This window comes from Homo sapiens, chromosome 3 (genome assembly GCF_000001405.40).
Source record: "Homo sapiens chromosome 3, GRCh38.p14 Primary Assembly".
Lineage (NCBI taxonomy): Eukaryota > Metazoa > Chordata > Mammalia > Primates > Hominidae > Homo > Homo sapiens.
Window position 1 is genome coordinate 196,742,353 of NC_000003.12, and position 22,038 is coordinate 196,764,390.

At 42.5% G+C, this 22,038-nt stretch overlaps 1 protein-coding gene and 1 pseudogene across 1 annotated transcript in view, besides 1 other annotated feature; one reads left to right on the plus strand and one right to left on the minus strand.

Annotated features, from left to right (window-relative positions):
• Window positions 1-22,038, plus strand: part of PAK2 (p21 (RAC1) activated kinase 2) — a 92,791-nt gene that overhangs the window by 2,496 nt on the left and 68,257 nt on the right. The window lies entirely within an intron of this gene.
• Window positions 2,978-3,477: an enhancer, noted in NCBI's record as "H3K27ac hESC enhancer chr3:196472201-196472700 (GRCh37/hg19 assembly coordinates)". NCBI's record gives its function as "activates a minimal SCP1, AML or CMV promoter by ChIP-STARR-seq in naive H9 embryonic stem cells {active_cell/tissue: H9 hESC(naive)}" and the evidence as "EXISTENCE:reporter gene assay evidence [ECO:0000049][PMID:30033119]".
• RNU4-89P (RNA, U4 small nuclear 89, pseudogene) lies at window positions 4,840-4,972 on the minus strand (annotated as a pseudogene).

A 22,038-nucleotide genomic window follows, 5' to 3' on the forward strand; every position in this document is an offset into this window, starting at 1 on the left:
GCTGGGATAGGCGTGAGCCACGGCACACCACCAACAGTTTCTATTTCAATTATACTTTTTAAGAGAGACTAGAACTTGTTCAGGTAGCTAAAGATAAACTTTCAATTATACTTTTCTAATATTTAAGAACTTCAAGTAGCCAAGGATAAAATGAGTAGGAATTGTTAGATTCTTCCTTTTATCCATCAAAATCGATTATTATTATAATAATATTTGAGTATATTTCTTTTGGCTTTCTGACTTTTACACTTTTGGTTAAAATTTGAAACTGGGTCTTCTTCGCCGGGCGCGGTGGCTCACGCCTGTAATCCCAGCACTTTGGGAGGCCGAGGCGGGCGGATCACGAGGTCAGGAGATCAAGACCATCCTGGCTAACACAGTGAAACCCCGTCTCTACTAAAAATACAACAAAAAATTAGCCGGGCTTGGTGGCAGGCGCCTGTAGTCCCAGCTACTCGGGAGGCTGAGGCCGGAGAATGGCGTGATGAACCCGGGAGGCGGAGCTTGCAGTGAGTCGAGATCGCGCCACTGCACTCCCGCCTGGGCTACAGAGCGAGACTCCGTCTCATTAAAAAAGAAAAAGAAAAAGAAACTGGGTCAACTTCAAGACTTTAAGTCGTAAAGGTTTCCATCAGTTTGGTATAAGAGTTGAGTTTCCAGACTAATCAGAGGGAGGGTGTTAATTGCAAATTGTGTGTCCAAGCTCTTCCTAGTATCCTTTTTGTGCCTTAACAGAGCAGAATAGGAAAGGAAAAAAATCCCTCATTGCCCCCAAAAAATAAAATACTGGTTGTTTTCTTCTGTGATCAGAGTTGAGTTTCATCACTTCTTCCCTTCTAGGGTCACCTGCCTGGTTAAGGGTAGTCAGTCTGAACATTCATTCAGGATTTCAGTGTTCCAGCCTACTATCTCTGAGTTTCTTTAGTACTTACTCCATGTATCCCATGTGGTTAGGAGCTAGAGTCCTGCGTTTGAATTCTTGCTGTTCTACTTTACCCTGGGCAAGATATACATTCTTTTCAAGACTTGCTTTTCTCACCTGTAAGATGGGGATAATAATAATAATACCAATTTCACAGGGATATTTAGATCAAATGAGGGAATGCAGGTAAAGGATTCTGTAATTATAGGTCTTAATAAACGTTAGTTAATAGTCTGTTCTTACATGCTGTAGAGTCGATACTCCTAAACTTAGAATTAAAACTGCCTTCTAGGCCGGGTGCGGTGGCTCACACCTGTAATCACAACACATTAGGAGGCTGAGGTGGGCCGATCACTTGAGGTCAGGAGTTCAAGACCAGCCTGGCCAACATGGTGAAACCTATATTCTCTACTATTCTTTAGTAGAGAATTTAGTATTCTCTACTAAAAATAAAAATATTAGCTGGGCGTGGTGGCGGGCGCCTGTAATCCCAGCTACTCAGGAGGCTGAGGCAGGAGAACTGCTTGAACCCAGGAGGCAGAGGCTGCAGTGAGCTGAGATTGCGCCACTGCACTTCAGCCTGGGTGACAGAGTGAGACTCCGTCTCAAAAACAAACAAACAAACAAACAAAAAACTGCCTTCTAAAAGAACGAAGTTTCTGAGACCGTAACTAAAAATAAAAATTACTTTTGGATGAATAAAATGTAATTTTTCAGGAGAAAAAATATGTAATAGTTTCACCACTGAAATAAAACATAGGGTTTTTGAACACAAATTTCTCAGATTTAAAAATATGCATATTTCCTGTATAAAAGTTGAAAAGTGGGCAGTGGCTGGTGGTGCCTGTAGTCCTAGCTACTTGGGAGGCTGAGGATCCTTTGAGTCCAGGAATTTGAGGTCAGCCAGGACAATACAGGGGGACCCCATCTCTTAAATCAGACAAAAATAAAAGTAGAAAAAAATATTAAATAAGAAATTTGGAAAGTGGTAAAAACTTTTAAGACAAAATTACCTTAGTCTCAGCTGGCAGAACCATTGTAACAAACTGGAACAGTGGTTTTGTTCCTTATTTTAAATTTAAATTCTAAAAGCAGTACATATTTATTATAAAAGGTTCAAACAAGTCAATTAAATATTTAAAGAGTGAAAATTCTTTGGGAGACTGAGGCAGGAGGATCACCTGAGCTCAAGAGTTGGAGGTATAGTGAGCTATGATTGCACCATTGCATTCCAGCCTGGGTGACAGAGCAAGACCCTGTCTTATAAAATTCTTAAAAAGTGAAAATTACTTTCTCTTTTTAGTCCCATTCCTTAGAAGTACCTACCCGCTGTTAATAGTTTTACTTACTGAGTTAGAAATAAGTAGTACCTTTTGTGTGTCGGATACTTTTTATGTTGATTTTAAAATAAAAAATCTGATCATTAAGTATTGTTTTCCATATCATGACATATAGTGGCACCTCTACTTTTTAAGTCATTAGATATTATGCTGTATGGTAGTACTTTAATTATTTGTGATCATTTATGTTATTTCTAACTTTGAGCAACTAAAACTAGAGCCTTAATGAACTTATACGTATGTCTTTGTGCACATGCATATGTAGATAAGTATTTCCATTAAAACGACTTGTAAGTGTGCATTTAAATTTCTTTTTTCTTTTTTTTTTGAATTGCATTCCAAAAAGACTTGTAATGTATATTTCCTTATTGAGTTGTAGAAGCTCTTCACATGTAATAGATATTAATCTATTGCCTTCTGTTTAAGATCTTCCTCATTCCACCTTTACAAAAAACATTCTTATGTGTTTTCTTCTGGTACTTTTAATAATTATTGTGTTTCAATCTTTTTTTTTTTTTTGTGACAGAGTCTCACTCTGTCACTCAGGCTGGAGTGCAGTGTTGGATCTCAGCTCACTGCAACTTCCGCCTCCCGGGTTCAAGTGATTCCCCTGCCTCAGCCTCCCGAGTAGCTGGGATTACAGGCACCATACCATCGCACCCAACTGATTTTTTTTTTTTTTTTTTTTTTGTAGAGACGGGGTTTTGCTATGTTGGCCAGGCTGGTCTCAAACTCCTGACCTCAGGTGATCTGCCTGCCTTGGCTTCCCGAAGTGTTGGGATTACAGGCGTGAGCCACCGTGCCCAGCCCATTGTGTTTCAATCTTAATCTTTCTGGAATTTTTTCATGCCTGGTGGGGATAAAAGAGTTTTAAAATAGTTTTGCTACAGAAATAAAATACAGGTATAAAAATATTTGGCCGGGTGCAGTGGCTTACGCCTGTAATCCCAGCACTTTGGGAGGCCTAGGTGGGTGGATCACCTGATGTCAGCAGTTGGAAACAGCCTAACCAACGTGGTGAAACCTTGTGTCTACTGAAAACACAAAAAATTAGCTGGGTGTGGTGGTGCACACCTGTAGTTCCAGCTACTCCGGAGGCTGAGGCAGGAGAATTGTCTGAGCCCGGGAGGCGGAGGTTGCAATGACCTGAGATCAAGCCACTGCACTCCAGCCTGGGCAACAGAACGAGACTCCATCTCTAAGTAAAAAAAAAAAAAGAAGAAGTAGTAACTAGATTTTTCTGTTCATTGGTATTTTTATTATCTTACTGGACTTCAGTAAACGTCTTTATTTTGTTTTCCAGGTTCATTGTTTTATCTGAGAATAATAGTAACTTCAGTCACTTTTCTATGGTTACAATATTTAACCTTTTTTTTTTTTCTTTTTCTTTCTTTTTTAAAGACGGGGTTTCACCGTATTAGCCAGGATGGTCTCGATCTCCTGACCTCGTGATCCGCCTGCCTCAGCCTCCCAAAGTGTTGGACAGGCATGAGCCACCGTGCCCAGCCCTTAACCCTGTTTTAGGTCTTTATTACATTGGCCTGAAGTTCCAAGACTTGGTTAAACAAGAGACGTGTCGTTGTCTTGAAATGACTCTGGTATTAATATTTTTACAGTTAGGGATGATGGCAGCTGTTGGATTTAGAGAAAGATTATTATTTTATTCTGTTTCTGCTTTACAAAAAATAGGAATGGCTTCTGAATTTTATGAGATGCTATTGTAACATTTAGATGATGATATGGTTTTCTTCTTTTAACTATTGCTGAGGATATGTAATAGTAAATTTGCTATTAATCAAAGGTATCACAAGGTATATATCGTGAATAACCAAAATCCCACTCATATTAGTCCTGCGTACGGAATTTATTGAAAGGTTAGAGGAGAATCTCATATAAATTTAGATTAATAAGAATAGGCCGGGCACAGTGGCTCATGCCTGTTATCCCAGCACTTTGGGAGGCCGAGGCAGGTGGATCAGCTGAGGTTTGGAGTTTGAGACCAGCCTGACCAACATGGAGAAACCTGTGTCTACTAAAAATAGAAAATTAGCCAGGTGTGGTGGCAGGTGCCTGTAGTCCCAGCTACTCGGGAGGCTGAGGCAGGAGAATCGCTTGAACCCGGGAGGCGGAGGTTGCAGTGAGCCGAGATCGTGCCATTGCACTCCAGCCTGGGCAACAAAAGTGAAACTCTGTCTCATTAAAAAAAAAAAAAAAAAGGATAGGCCTTTATGATAACTTCTGTAGTTAACTTCTATAACCTATTCAGGAATCCTTATTCATGAGTCACTTTTGATAATTCGTATTTCCTAGATCATTTCTTTTAGATTTTCAAATCTGTTACTATATAGGTGTGTATAATCTTTTGTCATTAAGATCTGTGGTATTCATTTCCTTTTTTTTATTAGTGATTTCACTATTTTTCTGAATTTGCCAAATGTTTGTCTACTTAGTGGTTTTTTTTACTAACCAGCTTTGAGATTTACTTATTGTATTGGTTTTTTTTTGTTTGTTTTCTGAATGCCTGATTTCTACTTTTCTCTTTATTTTGCTCTCCTGCTTTTTTTTTTTGTTGTTAACAATGTTAACATTAAGTTAATGTTAATGTTATTAATTCTTAATGAATTCTTAGTTCCTTTAATGTGTTTTCGATGAGCGGTAATCGCTCCTCGGATAGACCTCATTGGCTACGATACCGCCACTGTGCAAAGCTAGTTCATTTTAATGTCTTTTAATAATAAAAACCTTTAATGTTCTTAATTTGCTTTTGAATGCAGCGTTGGCTGCACATTCTAATTTACATGGACAATGTTCTTCTGCTCAGTATTTTCCAAATAGCTGGTGGTTCTAGTTTTGATTTCCTCTTTGACTCAGGAGGTATTTAGGATAATTCTATTCACTCATATTTTCTTTCATTGTTGTCAGCTTCTATAATCTTTTAAAATATCTTTTAAACTTATTGAGTGTTTCTTGTGACTTAAAACATAATCCATTTTGGAAAATGTTCTATGAAAACTTAGAACATTTTCTGTTGGTAATATACAGAGTTTTATACATAACCTATTGATTAAATTTAATGACTAAGATTATTTGTATGAATTACCAGTTTTTATAAATAGTTCTTACTAAATATAGGACTTAGTCTTTATTAGTCCTAGTAAGAACTATAGTCGTTATTAATAATTCTTATTAATGTAAAAATCTTCCTAATCTGCCAAAGACAAAGAGGTAGCATTGTTTCTGAGAAGCTTGTTCTCACGTTGGGACCTTTAGATTTTTATTTCTTCTGCCTGAATGTCACTGAGGCCATATTTGAAAGAGATCTTTCATGATCACCTCTGCCTACCCCCACTCCGCATCTAACTTCCTGCCCTTCAGTGTGTTTATTTTCCTTTATAGCACTTCCATCTGAAGTTTCTTTTTCATTTATTTGGTTTTCTTTAATATACTATTCTGTTTTACAGAGCTTTGAACAAATAGGTATGAAATAAGTATGTGTTGGTTGAGTGTCACTCTCTTATTTCTAATGATTTTTAGAAATTTTTATTCATTTTAATTAATAGACTTTGCAGCATTTTAGGTTCACAGCAAAACTGAGCCTAAGGTACAGAGTTCCCATATACCCCATGCTCCTCATGCCCCTCTTCTCCAAGCCTCCTGCTCATCAACATCCTGCATCACTGTGGTATATTTGGCACAGTCAGTGAACCAGCATTCACACATCATCACTGCCCAAAGCCCACAGTTTACGTTAGGGTTTGCTCGTATGGTATTGTACATTCAGTGGGTTTTGACAAATGTATAACAACATGTCTCCACCAGTATCATACCGACTGGTTTCCGCACCTTAAAACTCTCTGCTCCACCTGTTCCTCCCACTTTTACTGCAACCCCTGGCAACCGCTGATCCTTTTACTACCTCCATCGCAATGCCTTTTCCAGAATGTCCCGTAGTTGGAATTATATAGCGTGTAGCCTTTTCAACTTGGCTTCTTTCACTTAGCAGTATGCATCTGAGGTTCTTCCGTGTCTTTTCATGGCTTGATAGCTCATTTCATTTTAGCACTGAATAATATTCCATTGTCTGGATGTACATTCACCTATTGAAGGACCAGGTTTGGTGATTATGAATAAAGCTGCTGTAAACATTGATGTGTGGAGTTTTTTATTGTGGTGTAAAATACATGTAACAGAACTTACCATCTTAACCATTTTGAAGTATACAGTTCAGTGGTACTAAATACATTTATAGTGTGCAATTATCACCACCATCCATCTCCGAAACTTTCCATCCTGCAAAACTGAAATTCTATACCCATTGAACCATAACTCCTCATTCTCCTTTCTGTCTGCATGATTTTGGCTACTCTTATGTACCTTATGTAAGTGGAATCATATTTTGTGTTTTTGTGACTTATTTCACTTATCCTCAAGCTTCATCTGTGTTGTAGCATGTCAGAAGTTCTTTTCTTTTTTTTTTGGGTGAATAGTATTCCCATGTGTGTATTTACCTTATTCTGCTTGTCCATTTATTCATCAGTAGACACTTGGATTGCTTCCGTAATTTAGGTACTGAGATTAATGCTACTACGAACATGGGTGTACAAATACCTCTTTGAGACCTTGTTTTCAGTTATTTCGGGTACATACCCAGAATGGAATTGCTGGGTCATATGATAATTCTGTGTTTCATTTTTTGAGGAACTACCGTATTGCTTTCCACAGCGCCTGTATCACTTCACGTTTCCACCAGCAGCGCACAGCAGTTCAGTTTCTCTACATCCTTTTTAACACAACCGTTGTTGTTTTTAATAGTAGCCATCCTAATGGGTATTAGGTGGTATCATGTTAGTTTTGATTTGCATTTCTCTAGCAGTTAGTGATGTTGAGCATTTTTTCATGTACTTATTGACCATTTGTATATCTTCTTTGAAAAAATGTCTATTCAAGTGCTCATGTGTAGGTTTTCGGGTGGACATAAGTTTTCAGCTGATTTGGGTGAATACCAAGGAGCATGATGGCTGGAGTGTATGGTAAGAATGTATTTCATTTTGTAAGAAACTGTTCAACTTTCTTCCAAAGTGGCTGTACCATTTTGCATTCCCACCAGCAATGGATGTGGGGGTTCCTGTTGCTTCACATCTTTTCCAGCATGTCATGTTATCATTGTTTTGGATTTTACCCATTCCAATAGGTAGTAGTGTTTCATTGTTTTCTGTTTTTTTTTTGAGATAGAGTCTTGCTCTGTTGCCTGGGCTGGAATGTAGTGGCACGATGAGAACTCACTGCAGCCTCGAGCTCCTAGGCTGAAGCGATCTTCTCACCTCAGCCTCCAGAGTAGCCAGGACTACAGATACGCTACCTTACCTGGCTATTTCTTTTTTTTTTTTTTGAAACAGAGTTTCGCTCTTGTCGCCCAGGCTGTGGTGCAATGGCATGATCTGGGCTCACTGCAACCTCCGCCTCCTGGGTTCAAGTAATTCTCATGCCTTAGCCTCCCAAATAGCTGGGATTATAGGCGCCTGCCACCACGCCTGGCTAATTTTTTGTATTTTTTTTGTAGAGATGGGATTTCACCATATTGGCCAGGTTGGTCTCGAACTCCTGAGCTCAGGTGATCCATCCACCTCTGCCTCCCAAAGTGCTGGGATTACAGGCGTGAGCCACCGTGCCTGGCCTATACCTGGCTAATTTTTAAAATCTTTTTGTAGAGACGGTTCACTCTGTTGCGCAGGCTGGTAGATACTTCTTTTGCAGATATTTTTTTTCTAAGTCTGTGGTTTAAGTTCTCATTCTCCCAACTCTGATGATTTCTGTCATGTTTTGATTCAGTATTATTTGGTACGTGTGTAAATTCTACACTGCTCAAGATCTTCATTATGAATTGTACCTCATCCATGAAAATGATTGTCCTGTACGATCATGATTTAACATTTTTGCATCTTATATTTTGCTTGTCTTAAATTCCTGTTGTACTTTGTTTTTTGTTCAATAAATTATTCAACATTATCTTTCCTTGCTGTTTTTTGTTGTGTCTTTTTAAAATTGCGTGTAGTTTATTTTTGCTTTATTCCAAAGTGAATGCTTAAAACATATTAATGCTTAAAGCATTAAAAATGAATGCTTAAAACCTAAAATAAAGTTTAAAAAAAAAAAAAACCAAAACATGTTTATTATAATAAATGCTTTCTGGTATGTTTCTGTTATTTTATTTAATGCTTTCTGTTTTTTAATGATTAATTGTTGCTTTTTTTAATTGTTGTAAAATACATGTAACATAAAATTACCATCTTAAACGTTCTTAAGTGTACAGTTCTTTGGCATTAAGTACTCACGTTGTGGTACAACTTTCCCTACCATCTGTCTTCAGAATTTTTTTCATCTTCCCCAACTGAAACTCGGTACTCATTAAACATTAACTCCTCATTCCCTACCTCCAGCCCCCAGTAGCCTATCTCTAATCTGTTTTCTGTCTCAATGAACTTGCCTCTTCTGGATATTTCTTATAACTGGAATCGTGCAATGTTTGTCCTTTTGTGTCTCGCTCATTATTTCATGTAGCGCAGTATTTTCAGGGTTTATCCATTTTGTAGCATATAGTATAGGTTGAGCATCGCTAATCTGAAAATCCAAAATCCGAAATGCTCCAAATTCCAGCACTTTCTGAGTGCTGACATGACATCACAAGTGGAAAATTCCATATGTAAGTACTTAATGCAAACCATGTTTCGTGCACAAAATTATTTAAAATATTGGCCAAGCATAGTGGCTCACTCCTGTAATCCTAGCACTTTGGGAGGGCAAGGTGGGTAGATTGCTTGAGGCCAGGAATTCAAGACCAGCCTGGCCAACATGCTAAAACCCCGTCTCTACTAAAAATAGAAAAATTAGCCAGCGTGGTGGCACGCACCTGTAATCCCAGCTACTCGGGAGGCTGAGGCATGAGAATCTCTTGAGCCCAGAGGGCGGAGGTTGCAGTGAGCCCAGATCACACCACTGCAGTCCAGCCTGGGTGACAGAGCAAGACTGTCCCCCCAAAAAACACACAAATTTATTTATATACATATATATATATATATATATAATTCAGGCTATATATAAAAGGCATTTATGAAACACAAATGAATTTCTTTTTTTTTTTTTTTTTTTTGAGACCGTTTCACTCTTGTTGCCCAGGTTGGAGTACAATGGCGCAGTCTCAGCTCACTGCAACCTCCTCCTCCCAGGTTCAAGTGATTCTCCTGCCTCAGTCTCCTGAGTAGCTGGGATTACAGGCGCATGCCACCACTCTCAGCTAATTTTTGTATTTTGAGTAGAGATAGGATTTCACCATGTTGGCCAGGCTGGTCTTGAACTCTTGACCTCAGGTGTTCTGCCTGCCTCGGCCTCCCAAAGTGCTGGGATTACAGGTGTGAGCCACCACACCCAGCCACAAGTGAATTTCATATTTAGATTTGGGTCTCATCCCCAACATATCTCATTATGTGTATGCAAATATTCCAGTATTAGAACTCTGAGACAGTTCTAGCCCCAAGCATTTTGCATTTTGGATAAGGGATACTCAACCTGTAGTACTTAATTCCTTTTTAAGGGTGAGTAATACTCCATTCTATGTATTATACCACTTTTGTTTATCTGTTCACCTATCAATGTTTTCTTTTTTTGCTTTGTAAATTGTATTTGGTTTGCTTTTATCTCAGATATTTGGAATGTATACATCCTGTTTTTAAAGTATATTAGCTTAAGTGAATTCAAGTCTAAATCTAAATTGAAAAAAAATTTTCTGATCTGTAAGCCTGAAAAAGAAAATTGTTTTGACTCTTCCTATATCTGAAGATTATAAGATTTTTTTCTCTTAACCCTTTCTCACTTTATCCTCCTTTCACCTCCGTGGTGAGCTTGGGACACAGAATATTGTTAATGTATTTTTTGTATATTTCATGTTTCTAATTCCATCTTCTTTTGGTAATTTTGTTTTATTTATTTGTTTGTTTGTTTGTTTGTTTGAGACAGAGTTTCACTCTGTTGCCCAGGCTGGAGTGCAATGGCGCAATCTCAGCTCACTGCAAGCACCTCTTCCCTGGTTCAAGCAATTTTCCTGACCTCAGCCTCCCGAATAGCTGGGATTACAGGCGTGTACCACCACGCCTGGCTAATTTTTATATTTTTAGTAGAGACAGGGTTTTGTCGTGTTGGTCTCAAACTCCTGGCCTCAAGTGATCCGTCTGCCTTGGCCTCCCAAAGGGCTGGTAGTAAAAGCATGAGCCACCACGTCTGGCCTATTTATTTTTGAGACAAGGTCTCGCTCTTGTCCCAAGCTCACCATGGAGGTGAAAAGAGGGTAACGTGAGAATGGGTTAAGAGAAAAAAAAATTTTTTTTTTTTTTGAGACGGAGTCTCCCTGTGTCACCCAGGCTGGAGTGCAGTGGTGCCGATGGCTCACTGCAACTTCCGCCTCCCGAGTTCAGGCCTGAATAGCTGGGATTACAGGCACCCACCACCACGCCTGGCTAATTTTTGTATTTTTAGTAGAGACGAGGTTTCATCATGTGGGCCAGGATGGTCTCGATCTCCTGACCTCGTGATCCGCCCGCCTCAGCCTCCCAAAGTGCTGGGATTGCAGGTGTGAGCCACCGCGCCGGGCCTGAGAAAAAAATCTTATAATCTTCAGATATAAGAAGGTTGCCCAGTTTGGAGTGCAGTGGTGCAACCTCAGCTTGCTGCAGTCTTTCAGGCAGTCCTCCCATCTCAGCCGCCTGAGTAGCTGGGACTACAGGCACATGCCACCACACCCGCCTAATTTCTGGGCTCACGTGATCCTATCTTCCTGCCCCAGCCTCCCTAAGTGCTGGGATTGCAGGTGAGAGCCACCACACCTGGCCTAATTATTTCTTTTATCTCGCTAATTACATTTAGTATTAACACAAGTTATTGAAACCTTGTTTATGTGAATTCATTGCTCATTGCCAGCTTTCTGTTTTACATTTAAATTCATTAGTCATGTATACCATCTAGTGTACATTTTCAGCTAGTATTTTCACTAGGAGTACCTGGAAGCCACATTTAATGATTTAGATTGCTAACTTCCCTCAGAAATTCTGTTGATGTTGTTCTATCGCCTTGCATTAATCATTTTGTTTTTTTCCTGTGCCTGGATGGTGGTAGGAATTTTCCTTTTTCTTTTTTTAAAAATATTTTGACAGATTCTGTCTTGTACATGTTCACTAATGTTGCCTGAAACATTAGTTCCTTATGATCTTTGTACTTGGTGCTTTTTAAAAAATTTCCAATAATACTTTTGGTGATTACTTTTGTTTCAATTGTTCTGTTTCCTTCCTTGAAAACACATGTAATTATTAGGTTGGCTCACCATTTCTGTCCCCTATGTGAACTGCTCAAAAGTTTGCCCTTTTTTACCACTCGTTTGATTTTTCTTTTTCACTTCTAATGTTGGCTTTATTTCTGCTATTGCAATCTTAATTTCTTAGTATCCTTTTAAAATTTATCTCACTTTTCTTAAATTATCTTATCTCATCCTGGTTTCTTCTCTCCATATACTCCTGTTTTGTGTCATTTGCTAAATTGTGACTGGAAGTTCCTGAAGTAATTTACCTTGTAAGTTAGGTTCTGCTTTTGTGTGAAGGGTAATCTTCCTTGTGGTTTTCTTTTGCTATTAGGATCAGTGCTGGATTTCTTACTGCCTACTTACCATTGAACAGTAACTGTTATGTCCTGTCTCATGTGCATTTGTCAGAGATGTGTGTGTGTTTTCCTTGCCTCTCCAGGGGACTGGAGTTCTGATGAAACCGCTTCTCAGATGTATTTCTGAGGGATAAATACACAGCTCCCGGCCTGATTTCCAGTGATGAACAGACATTCCTCTTCATATGGTATTCTGGGCTAGGGTAGTAGGATCTTACCCTACCCTGTTTCTGTCTTTGTGAGTCTGAACTGATGATGTATGAGAGTGGCCCTCATTTCTAGCATGTGCTGCTGTTACAGGTTTTCTGATTCTGATCTTACACCCACAACATAACACTCTCCTTGTTACTTCACTAAACCTCCCAGGAAGCAGTGTGTCCATTCGGGTTTTCCTGCCCTTACACAGCCCCGCTGGAACCTTACCTGCACACGGGCGCAGACACACACTTCCTGGTTTGCTTTCTGGAATTTGCGCCTGGTAATCTCCCTGAATGTATGTTGAGAGATCACAGAAGATAAGGAACTGTGGCTGCCACAAAAACTGCCTCTGTGTAGCAAGGAGTGGCTGACCAATTCTTGATTCTGCTTTGATTCTTCAAAGCCGACTCTGAGTCTCCAAATAAAGCGATGGCTAGTAGGGAGAGACAAGATATCTTCATAGTTCTTTTAGGCAGATGATTGAACTTTGTTTTATGAGGCAGAGCATGGCTGGGTCACGAGTCTTTTTGCAGTACAGTTGACCTTAAAGCTAATTGAAATCCTTCAAAGATCTCATATAAATTGTATTGGTGGAGATTTGGGACAGACTACGTTGGAGATTTCTGATTTGATAGCATTATTTACTAGAGTAAACCTGTTCCAATTTTTTGAAACTTAGGTAATCACTTAAGTAGTAACATCAGTCTTGACCTTCATCTTTTAATAAAAGATTTTACCTCAGATTGATAGATTTTCACTTTGGTAGTAGGAGAATGGTATCTTGTTCCATTTTGCATCTGTTTGATAAATCTAGTGAGGCTGAAAATTTTTCCTATGTCTATGGACCCTCCCTCCCCATTTTTCCATTTTGAATTGCTATTTGGGGTTCATGGCCAAAATTAGGAAAAACTAGACTTCAGAGTGTTTACGCATTTCTTCTTCCGACTTTTTTTTTTTTTTTTTTGAGATGGAGTTTGGCTCTTGCTGCCCAGGCTGGAGTGCAGTGGCACAATCTCGGCCCTCTGTAACCTCTACTTCCCGGGTTCAAGTGACTCTCCTGCCTTAGCCTCCTGAGTAGCTGGGATTATAGGTATGTGCCACCACGCCTGGCTAATTTTGTATTTTTAGTAGAGATGGGGTTTCTCCACGTTGGTCAGGCTGGTCTCGAATTCCTGACCTCAGGTGATCCGCCTGCCTCAGCCTCCCAAAGTGTTGGGATTACAGGCGTGAGCCACTGCACCCAGACTTCTTCTTTTTTTTTTTGAGACGGAGTCTCGCTTTGTTGCCAGCCTGGAGTACAGCGGCATGATCTTGGCTCACTGCAACCTCCGCCTCCTGGGTTCAGGCGATTCTGCTGCCTCAGCCTCCTTAGTAGCTGGGGTTACAGGCGAGCACCACCATGCCTGGCTAATCTTTGTATTTTCAATAGAGACGGGGTTTCACTGTGTTGGTCTGGCTGGTGTTGAACTCTTGACCTCATGATCCGTCTGCCTTGGCCTCCCAAAGTGCAGGGATTACAGGTGTGAGCCACCGCACCCGGCCCCTTCCAACTTTTTAAGTAATCTTTCTTGTTGCTGACTTGTTGTCTCCCTGTTCCCTACCGTCAGGCAGTTTTGAAGCATTTTCTGAGCCTCGCCACTTGACTTCCTTTACGCTTTGTCATTGTTTCAGTTTTTTAATGTGGTGATTGAGTGAAAGCCAAGGGGAAGAAGAAAAAGAGAAAAAAGGGTCACATTTGAATTACAAAATGCCTTTACACTCCCTGTGTCCTCTGTATATAGATACCTTCCTCTCTTTCTTTGCCTGACAAATTCCTTTTCATCCTTCAAAAAGCAATTCTGGGTTTTTTTTGCCTAATTACTCTCATCTAAACAGGAGCTCCGGGTCCCCCTTTCCAGTGCGTTCCACTGGGCCCTGTCAGCAGCTTAACTCATTTCAGAGTAGTTGTTATTTGTGAGCTCCAAACTGAGACTTAACTCTTTTAGGCACTTAATAAATATTTGAATGAATGAATAAATTAGGAGTATTAGTAACAAAATGCTTGGGCTGGGCGTGGTGGCTCATGCCTGTAATCCCAGCACTTTGGGAGGCCGAGCTGGGAGGATCACAAGGTCAGGAGTTCAAGACCAGCCTGCCCAATATGGTGAAACCTTGTCCGTACTAAAAATACAAAAATTAGCTGGGCGTGATGGCACGCGCCTGTAGTCCCAGCTACTCGGGAGGCTGAGGCAGAAGAATCGCTTGAACCCGGGAGGAGGAGATTGTAGTGAGCTGAGATTGTGCCACTGCACTCTAGCCTGGGTGACAGAGCAAGATTCCATCTCAAAAAAGAAAGAAAGAAACAAAATGCTTATTCCTTGGTGCTGCAATGAAATAGCACTCAGCATAAATTTAACTTTCTCAGCAAGGCAGTTTTACTTGCTGCATAAAGGGTGCTCCTCGCAGATGGAACAATGGTGAGAGCACACCTGAACAAGGGAGGGGAAGGGGTTCTTATTCCTGACACAGGTAGCCCCTATTGTTGTGTCATTCCCCTGTTGGCTAGGGTTGGACTGCACTGTCTAAGCTAATTCCGATTGGCTATTTTAAAGAGACCAGGGGGTATGAGCCAGAGTGGCAGGCTGAGTAGTTTAGTGGGAAGGACGGTTAGGAACAGGTAACTCAAGGTGACTTAGGTCAGAGCAGGTGACCAGGGGTGACTCAGGTCAAAGCAGGTGACTGGGATGAGTCAGGACAGAGCAGGTGACTGGGGGAACAGATGTGAACTACTGATGAAAACTGGTGGAAAAGGTTGTTTAGTGAAACTACGCTGAAGTTAAACTTTAAAATGGAGGGCAATACTGGTTCTTTGAAGAGAAATCTAGAACTCACTGTATCCAACAGGAGAGATTTACAAAGAGTTTCTGTTATTTTTTCCATCCACGTCATTTCCCTGCTTAGTAACTTCTAGTGTGAAAATATCAAAAGCAGGTATCTCTGAGAAGTGGACTTAGGCTTATTCTTCTTTTCTTTTAGACCTTATTCTGGTTTGAGGTTTTTGTGATCATCATGTACTACTTTTATTATATAAGAATAAAAAAAAATTAACCCCAAACCCCTCAAATTTCCAGGCGCTTCCTGTTGCCCAGACCCTGCACCATTCTGGCCCCACTCAGCCTAGTTTTATTTCCCACTGCTTGCCAGCTGTGCCCTGTGATCTCCTTGCTGTCTCATGAGCTACGTGGTACTTATGTTCCTGTTGCCTGGAATCCCGTCTTCTGGTCAGGAAGATGATCTGCGATAAATACCGAGAATACTCGCGTTAGATACTGAATAGTGAGAGTTTAGACTCACGACCTGGGGTGTCATCTTGAACATACGGTGCTTAAGGGATGAGGTTTCTGGGTCAGTTTTATTGGTTGTGATGAACAAGATAAATGGAGCATTTGTCTTAGCTTCTAGAATAGTGACCTTAAAAGAGATAGAACAGTGAATGTATCTTCAAACTTGCCTGGGTCTCCACTAGCCTAAAGAAGAAAAAACCCTTTAATTCTGATGCTGTCACAGATGAAATCCTTTCATTCACTGATTTATTCATTCAAGAAATAATGACTCATCACCTACTCTGGGCTAAACACAGTGTCCAGTGTGATGGTGATGTAATGGTCAACAAGATAGATACTCACTGGGTCCTTGCCTGTGGAGTTTATACGTAGTTAGAGAAGACAGACATTAAAAGAAGAAATCCAGTGTGATGAATGTTGAGATAAAAGGAAATAAACCAATACTTGTGGCAGTGAAGAGGTATCAGAGGTTTCCTGAGAGAATGACATTTAAGCTAGTACTTGAAGTAGGTGTTTGCCAGGTGGAGGTGGTGGGCAGAAAGTAGAGTCATCAGTTCATTCTGGTTTGTCCACGGCTTTCCTGGTTTTAGCACGACACGTCCCGTGTCCGGGGAGGTCATGTGCGAAAGCTTCAGATGGCAATTAAAGAAACAGTAAGAATAGAAAAAACTTAAAGCCTGAAGAGGGAAAGACTAAAGTGAGATGAGTCTAGAAAGTTAGACAGGAGCCTGATGATGCACGCACTGTTGGGCTTTACCTAAGAACCATGAGAAGGTTTTAAGTGGGAGGATGAAGTGATAGTATTTTTATTTTATTTTATTTTAGTTTATTTTATTTTGAGAAAGTGTCTCGCTCTACTGCCCAGGGTGGAGTGTACCCTGGCATGATCTCAGCTCACAGCAGCCTCCACTTCCTGGTTCGGGCGATTCTCATGCCTCAGCCTCCTGAGTAGCTGGGACAGCAGGCACTCATGATCACGCCTGGCTAAATTTTATATTTTTTTAGTAGAGACACAGTTTCACCATGTTGCCCAGGCTGGTCTTGAACTCCTGACCTCAAGTGATCTGCCCACCTCAGTGTGCCAAAGTGCTGGCATTACAGGCATGAGCCACCACACCCGTCCAAGGATGTTAATTTCTTAAAAAGGGAAAAACTTACACATTTTTATTCTCGTATTTTTCTGTCACTGGATAGAAACATTACTAGCAGAGTAAATAATCCAGATGCCTGTCTTCAGCCTTTTTGTCAGACATGAAGAGTAAGCATAGAAGGTAGGAGGCATGGCTGTGAGGTCGTTGAAGTGATCTTTTCCTGAACACAGCAAATACTATAAATGGTTTTTGTCACCATTGAAGTAGTCCCATTGAGAGACTGCCTGATTATCCCAGTGATGCTTCCACTCTTCAGATTATTTCTAGAACTCTTCTTTTTGCATTGCCCTGGGAGCCTCTGGCATATTCTTCAGAGTTTCTTCTTCACCAGAGGCAAACTTTTCATCCTTGCCTGTGCCTCTGTTTCAGGTCAGTTTCTCTTGCTCTCTGCATCTATGTTTGGCCCAATTGGTTTCTTTCTTTTCCTTAAAAATTCCTTAAATTTTAAAAAAACAGATATTCATATACAGTAAAATTCACCCTTTAAGGTATACAGTTAAGTGGTTTTTTTTGTTTTTTTTTTTTTTTTTTTTTTTTTTTTTTTTTTTTTTTGAGATAGAGTCTTGCTCTGTCACCCAGGCTGGAGGCTGGAGTACAGTGGCGTGATCTCGGCCCACTGCAACCTCTGCCTCCCAGGTTCAAGCAATTCTTCTGCCTCAGCCTCCAGAGTAGTTGGGACTACAGGCACGCACCACCACGCCCAGCTAATTTTTGTATTTTTAGTAGAGATGGGGTTTCACCATACTGGCCAGGCTGGTCTTGAACTCCTGAGCTCGTGATCTGCCCGCCTCAGCCTCCCAAAGTGCCGGGATTACAGGCGTGAGTCACTGTGCCCAGCCAGTTAAGTGGGTTTTTTAAGTGTGCTCACAAAGTTATACAGCCGTCCCCACTATCTAATTACAGAATATTTGCACCACCTCAGAGAGAAATACTGCACTGAATAGCAGTGACTCCTTATTTCATCTCCCCGCCGGCCCCAAATACCACTAATCTATTTTTTGTCTCATGAATGGAATGATACAATATGTGGTCTTTTGTGACTGGTTTCTTTCATTTAACACAGTGTTTTCAAGGTCCATCCATGCTGTGGCATCTCTCAGCACTTCATTCCTTTTACAGTCAAATGGTATTCCATTGTATGGGTGAAAGAGACAGGGTCTTCTATATTGTCCAGGCTAGTCTTGAACTCCTGGGCTCAAGTGATCCTCCTGCCTCAGCCTCTTAAGTAGCTGGGATGGTGCACACCTGGGTTATTTTCAGTTTTTTGTTTGTTTGTTTGTTTTGAGACAGCGTCTTGCACTGTCGCCCAGGCTGGAGCACACTGGCGCGATCTCAGCTCACTACAACCTCCGTCTCCCGGGTTCAAGCAATTCTCCTGCCTCAGCCTCCTGAGTAGCTGGGATTGTAGGTGCCCACCACCACACCCAGCTAATTTCTGTATTTTTAGTAGAGACAGTATTTCTCCATGTTGGCCAGGCTGGTCTCGAACTCCTGAGCTCAGGTGAACCGCCGGCCTCAGCCTCCCAAAGTGCTGGGATTACAGGTGTGAGCCACCAAGCCTGGACTCTGAGTATGATTTCTTACCTCATTGTTCATATTTCTACAGTGATAAGTAGGCATCATCCATGTGCAGCCGCATTATGGGCCTGTAACCATGACCGGTCTGTGAGTTTGAGCAGTTTGAATGCATAAGGATGCATTCTTATGCTATCCAAATTATTTGTGCTTTGCTGGTGAAGATTCTGAAACAAGGTGTGTCATTAGAAAGTGTTTACTTGTTTATAACGGCCTTAAACTACTGAAGGTGTATAGGATATTTATGAGTCGTGATTCAAAGTGTGAGTTTAAACGTTTGTTGGTGCCTCCGTGTTAAAAGCATTATGTTAGATAGTGTCAGATAGGTACAGAGATGTATGGAAAGTGTTACCTGCCAGCCAGTTTATAATCTTGTAGAAAAAAGAAAAGTTAGGGCTGAGCACAGTGGCTCAAGCCTGTAATCCCAGCACTTTGGGAGGCTGAGGCGGATGGAGATCAGGAGTTCAAGACCAGCCTGACCAACATGGAGAAACCCTGTCTCTACTAAAAATACAAAATTAGCCGGGTGTGGTTGTGCATACCTGTAATCCCGGCTACTCGGTAAGGCTGAGGCAGGAGAACCGCTTTTTTTTTTTTTTTTTAATTTATTTTTTTATTGATAATTCTTGGGTGTTTCTCACAGAGGGGGATTTGGCAGGGTCATGGGACAATAGTGGAGGGAAGGTCAGCAGATAAACAAGTGAACAAAGGTCTCTGGTTTTCCTAGGCAGAGGACCCTGCGGCCTTCCGCAGTGTTTGTGTCCCTGATTACTTGAGATTAGGGATTGGTGATGACTCTTAACGAGCATGCTGCCTTCAAGCATCTGTTTAACAAAGCACATCTTGCACCGCCCTTAATCCATTTAACCCTGAGTGGACACAGCACATGTTTCAGAGAGCACAGGGTTGGGGGTAAGGTCACAGATCAACAGGATCCCAAGGCAGAAGAATTTTTCTTAGTGCAGAACAAAATGAAAAGTCTCCCATGTCTACTTCTTTCTACACAGACACGGCAACCATCCGATTTCTCAATCTTTTCCCCACCTTTCCCGCCTTTCTATTCCACAAAGCCGCCATTGTCATCCTGGCCCGTTCTCAATGAGCTGTTGGGCACACCTCCCAGACGGGGTGGTGGCCGGGCAGAGGGGCTCCTCACTTCCCAGTAGGGGCGGCCGGGCAGAGGCGCCCCTCACCTCCCGGACGGGGCGGCTGGCCGGGCGGGGGGCTGACCCCCACCTCCCTCCCGGATGGGGCGGCTGGCCGGGCGGGGGGCTGACCCCCCCCCACCTCCCTCCCGGACGGGGTGGCTGCCGGACGGAGACGCTCCTCACTTCCCAGATGGGGTGGCTGCCGGGCGGAGAGGCTCCTCACTTCTCAGACGGGGCAGCTGCCGGGCGGAGGGGCTCCTCACTTCTCAGACGGGGTGGTTGCCAGGCAGAGGGTCTCCTCACTTCTCAGACGGGGCGGCCGGGCAGAGACGCTCCTCACCTCCCAGACGGGGTCTTGGCCGGGCAGAGGCGCTCCTCACATCCCAGATGGGGCGGCGGGGCAGAGGCGTCCCCCACATCTCAGACGATGGGCGCCCGGGCAGAGACGCTCCTCACTTCCTAGATGGGATGGTGGCCGGGCGCAGACGCTCCTCACTTTCCAGACTGGGCAGCCAGGCAGAGGGGCTCCTCACATCCCAGACGATGGGCGGCCAGGCAGAGACACTCCTCACTTCCCAGACGGGGTGGCGGCCGGGCAGAGGCTGCAATCTCGGCACTTTGGGAGGCCAAGGCAGGCGGCTGGGAGGTGGAGGTTGTAGTGAGCCGAGATCACGCCACTGCACTCCAGCCTGGGCACCATTGAGCACTGAGTGAACGAGACTCCGTCTGCAATCCCGGCACCTCGGGAGGCCGAGGCTGGCGGATCACTCGCGGTTAGGGGCTGGAGACCGGCCCGGCCAACACAGCGAAACCTCGTCTCCACCAAAACCAGTCAGGCGTGGCGGCGCATGCCTGCAATCGCAGGCACTCGGCAGGCTGAGGCAGGAGAATCAGACAGGGAGGTTGCAGTGAGCTGAGATGGCAGCAGTACAGTCCAGCTTCGGCTCCGCATGAGAGGGAGACCGTGGGGAGAGGGAGAGGGAGAGGGAGAGAGGAGAACCGCTTTAACCGGGGAGGCGGAGGTTGCAGTGAGCCGAGATCGTGCCATTGCACTCCAGCCTGGGCAACGAGAGTGAAACTCCGTCTCAAAAAAAAAAAAAAGAAGAAAAGTTAGAAGCCAGGTGACTGAATTTCAAGGAAGTGTGCAAGTACCATATGGATGGATGGGACTGTATCATTCTGGGTCCAATCAGGAGAGAGAAGCCATACAGTAATTTGAACATGAAAAAACATAATTGACTGACTATAACAGGGTAATTGAGTAATGAGGGATTAGCCAGTAAAAAAATAGAGCTCTAAAGAACATTGGAATAGCAAAAGTAAGAAGCAGCTACTTCCCCTAGGGCTGAGATAGACCCCCCACCCCCTGCCTGGGAAAGAGCTATTCCTTTTCCCAGAGCTGAGATCCAGACCTTATTGGAGAGAGCGTGGTTGTAAATCACTGAATGGCAGAGATGTTTCTGCCATTTAATGGTTCTTTGTTGGCCATAGTTGTTGGACATCTGCCCTTTAGGGTGCCAAGGAGAATTATTAACTCTGATACAAAACTGCTCAAAAAGAGTATGTGGGGTGGCTCCCTGTTGCAGTAGACTCAGTGCTGCTGGCCACCTTCCCCTATTGGAGTCTGATGCTGGAGGAGCTGCCTGCCCATCAGGAGTCTTGTGACAACTGGAACCAGGAAGCAAAACTCCTTTTCTTCTGTGATGTCTCTCCAGCGCCCTATATCGACAAAGCTTAGCATCGTGTCCCGGCAAAGGAAAAATGCTTGAAGGCCTCAGATCCGTTTTCGGAATGGACAGAAATGATGAATTTGGAATGGAGAGGCACTAGATCAGTAACTGGCAGGAGAATGGTATTAACTGCTGCGGGAGCTCAGAGACGGAGCAGAGGTCACATGACAGTAAAAGAAGTATTTGAGAAAGAGCTTAGAAGATGAGTAGATTTTTAAATTGAAGATTGCTTACGTTTTCATGGCAAAATAGTATCTGCATTTTAGAAAAAATAGAATATAGACAAGTATTATTGTCTATTTTCTATAGAAAGAAAGGAAAGGCACTCAGATCACTGTCTACAAAGAGATCCAGTGTTAATTGCTTGATAAAAGGTGTCTGGCCAGGCTCTGTCACCCAGGCTGGAGTGCAGTGGTGTGGCACGATCACGGCTCACTGCAAGCTCTGCCTCCTGGGTTCATGCCATTCTCCTGCCTCAGCCTCCAGAGTAGCTGGGACCACAGGCGCCCACCACCACGCCCGGCTATTTTTTTTTTTTTTTGTATTTTTAGTAGAGATGGGGTTTCACCGTGTTAGCCAGGATGGTCTTGATCTCCTGACCTCAGGTGATCCACCTGCCTCCGAAAGTGCTGGGATTACAGGCGTGAGCCACCGCGCCCGGCCTGCTGCTGCTTTTGTATCTTTGCAGAAAACAATTGGCTTTTAGGTGTAATAATGCTAAACTTTATAAACAGACACTGGGAAAAACTTCCTACTTTTGGTATTTCAACTGTGAAGTTTATTTGCATAACTTCTTTATGATAAGTTTGTCAAATAAACATTTTAGCGCTCTTCAAGTGACCTTTAGGAAGAGATTTTCTGATGGAACATCGTATCTTAGAAGTCCATTTTTTCTTGCCAGGCGCAGTGGCTCACACCTATAATCCCAGCACTTTGGGAGACCAAGACGGGC